Raw genomic sequence first — 3,921 nt, 5'->3', positions numbered from 1 at the left:
ATGATAACATCTAATTTGCCTACTTATATATCTGGGGATTTAATTGGATCACAATTTCACTCTTCTTAACAAGTGGTCCTAGCTGTCAAGGGTAGAAATAAAATTTCAGCCAATCAAAATACAGCATACATAAATGGTCACAGTACTACCATATAATAACACAATTCATGGATTCCATGAACAATCCTAAAATCTTGCCCACTGATAAGAATTTAAAGAACAAGAAATGGTACCAAGTGAATTCTATCATGTAGTAGCAATTCTAATGAGATTTTGAAATTCTACAGACTTACCCAATGTAGCTACTAAACCAAGGCTCTAAATGCTTTTTGGTTCAATTTAGAGTCCTCATGTCCTTCTGCTTTTGACTTTTAAAGTCATCCATTTTAATTGTAAAAATGGACAGTGTATTCACCTTGTCAAAGAGAATCATACAAACCTTTGGAAATAAAACAGAAAAATAATTGTGTTTTTTAAATAAAATGCTAGAGAATTATCTGACAAGGTTGCCTGAGGCTGAGGGTCATTTGCCTCTCTCTGGGAATGTAACTTTGTTTTATTTAGAATTCACCCTTGACCAGGGCTCAGGCATTTTAACAACTCTGGAGCATTCAAAGAGAGCTTTTAGGAAACTAAGGTGTGGGTAATTTTCTCTTATGTCCATAGAAAGTGTAACTCTAATGGTTATATGTTCACTGATGGATAGCTTTAATCAATTTTGCAATTTCATGAACATATTCCACCATTCTGTTCCCGTGGTTGTATACAAGCCCAGTCCCTCAACCCCTTTTTGAACAAGCTTTGCCATCCTGCTGTTTCTCTCATTAATGAGTTGAATAAAGTGTCCACGGATGCTCACTATTAATTGGTAAGAATTATATTTCATTTAATATACTAAGAATTATGTTTTAATAACCTAAAGGCTTTTAACAAGAAGAAATAAAAGAAGTAGAAATATAAGTAGAGAAAGAAGCAGAAGAAGGAGACAGAGTTAAGGGAGGGGAGGTAGAGAGGGAATGCAGCATTTATCTATGGGATTATTCTGGATAGTGCATTCACTCCAGTTATGATAAAATGTTATAAGTGTTTTAAATCTCTTAATCAATAAACTGAAATTGTGCTGCCGAAGAATAATTGCCTTCATTTTTCAAAAATGCATAATCTACAATTGGAGCATATAATTAGACATACGGAGTAGACTTATTTTGAATCAAATACTATTTGATATTAAATTATATGGAGAAGAGCTTTTTTATTCCTTACCCAATCTAACTATTAATATATCAAAAAGGTTTTATTAAACTTTCCTATCATAAATTTCGGTGAGTTTTATCAGGTTATACATGTTTGTACATACATATATCCTTTTTTACTGAAATTAAAATGTTGATTGCCCATATAAAGTCTTCATGGATGAGGGAAAAACTTTGCAAACGATGTTTAAAATGGCATTGCTTACCAAATCAAAAGAAAAAAATACACCAAATGTTGGAGTTTAAAGACAGTGTTGTATTGATATTAAAACCAGAGAACTTCAGGTAAATTCTTTCTACACTAGATATGAATGATACCATACCTCCCTGAAATTAGTATTGGGGGAGAAAAAGACAAACACACACACACACACACACACACACACACACACACACATATATATATGTATATATATATATATGCACCATTTCCTCATTGAGAATCTCTTATATAAAAGAGGTCTGCATATAAAAGACAGTCCAGAGACATCTTTGAAGGTTCTCTTTCAAGGCAGCTCCACTTTCCGGTGTGCCTAGGGATTTCTGTTATTAATTGAAGTTAATTTTCTAGGATATCAGTTTGCGGTGCACGTGGGAAAGATTGATAGCCTCTTGGATTCTCGAGAGTGTTGAAAATGACACTGTTCCATCACCGGGTGCCTTTACTTTTATCATCACAAATCAAATTATAAACATCGGGGCAACCTTGCTGGAATCTGGCTTCAGGAGATTTCCATAAGATTAATTAGGCGGCCAAAGCAAAGATGGTAAAATAGAAAGGGGGAGGGGTGGAGGGAGGAGGGAGAGTTGAACCATTCATTCCTCACAGAATGGAAAGTCAATTCAACAATGGGTAATTAGCGTGGGCCACCGATTCTCAAAGGCACTGAGGACACTGGACTCTTTCTCGCACTCTGATGTTTAGTGCCGTATTGTGGACCCCTCATTTAATTAGTGCACTTTGATACCCACAGGAGTTTGAGGCTCCAGGGCATGCTAAACACAGACTGACACCAGCAAGCTTCTGCCTCCTTCCACTCTAATTAGAGACACAATGAGCTGCAAAGACAATGTTTTACTCCAAGATTTCTTCTGCAGATACCTCTGGCAGGAAACAATCATTTATTTTGTGTCTATATTGGTATTCAGATTAAATTGTTAGCATGCAAAAGATGAGCTAAGGGTATATATCTAGTAAAAATGCTTTGCAGGGTTCAAAAATGATGGGAGCAATTTGTGAAAAAAAAATATTTCCCTTTTGGAAACTATTTATTTTGCTCTCATCTAATTAGAAATAAACTTTAAATCACAATGCATGTTGCATTCTAAAGTAAATGTCAGTACTTTCTTGAAATAGCCATAATCTCTATGCCTAAACAAATGTTTCTAAAATTGTCTAAAAAAAGAGAGGAAGAATAAGAGGGGAACCCCTCTCCTCCTCTGAATTCAATTGCATTGAAATAACTAGCCAGCACTAGGAAAAATGACAGAGGTCATTTTTACAGGAAGATTGCTAATCTGTCTAGAGCTCTTTAAAGAAAGCCCTGAAATATTTGCAGTGCCAAGTTAAAAAAAATTTATAGTGTTAGTTTTGATGGACAGTTCCATGCTGATTGGAAGAATATAAATATCCCAAGGGAGACTGCATATTGAAAATTAATCTCAGCATCCACAAATACTGGTATGTGTTGCTTTAACTATACACTGTAAATCTTGTGCCACTAACATTTAAACACAGGACAAATGTTTCTCTATGTTATTGTTGTCTATGTATTTCTATAAGACACAATCAGCTTCCAAAATAAAATGTCTCAAAGCATTGCCAACCAAATAAATGAGTGCTATTATCTTTTTATGCACCCATTTGTCCACCCAGCTACCTACTTGTCTATCAATCTATATCTAACTTTTCAGAAAATAAAGCCAAAAAGCCCCAAAGGGGGAAAAAAAGAATCCATTCTGAGATTATGTCTCCACAAGATAAATGTGTCCTAACTAACTTTTGGTGCTCTTTGACACTCACAATCTTCCCTCCCCATCTTGATTATTTATTACAAAATGGATCAGAAAGAAAATACATTAGCACAGGAAAGTGGTTTGTTCCATTGCTCAAAGTTGCCCAAATACTTTTGCACAAACATTTTTCTTCAGATCCATTCTGAATTTACATCTGAGCAAAGATTGTTAAGTAGGTTTCATCTCCAGTGCAAAACCCAATAGACTGTGAGGATCTCCTGGGAGGGCAGGTTTAAGAAGGATTGTTAATTCAGTGGGAAATGATGCCATAATTATTTAGCAATGCCTTTCTTTGGCTTGGCTTGAGTTGAGGTGAGAGCTGGAAACAAAGGGACTGGTGATATCAGCTTCATAATTTTTTCAACTCTTTTCTGAACTGATGAGCTATATGTTTAGACCTTCTTTTCTCTCCATTCCAGCTACCAATCACTCTTACAGTTTAGAGAATCCGCATCCACATCTAGGAATTGTGTGGAGCCCATCTGATCTGTCAAGCTAATTCTACATCTCTGGATAGGTTCATTATGCCACTTTAAACTATATCTTAAAACTATAACCTTCTTTAGGCATTTTGGCAAACTATGATCTACGATTGATTTCCTTTACAATAATCTTGCTTGTGAACAGTGGACAGGTTTCATGTGTGGCAAAA

General features: G+C 35.4%; 1 annotated feature.

Moving 5' to 3' along the window:
• Positions 345–3,610: an enhancer, noted in NCBI's record as "VISTA enhancer hs1798". NCBI's record gives its function as "enhancer in: neural tube[6/9] | hindbrain (rhombencephalon)[6/9] | midbrain (mesencephalon)[6/9] | forebrain[9/9] | eye[6/9]" and the evidence as "EXISTENCE:transgenic organism evidence [ECO:0001131][PMID:17130149]".

The sequence above is a fragment of the Homo sapiens genome, chromosome 7, assembly GCF_000001405.40.
Source record: "Homo sapiens chromosome 7, GRCh38.p14 Primary Assembly".
NCBI classification, from domain to species: Eukaryota; Metazoa; Chordata; class Mammalia; order Primates; family Hominidae; genus Homo; species Homo sapiens.
Note: the sequence above shows the minus strand (reverse complement) of the source record. Positions and strands in the feature narration are given on the sequence as shown.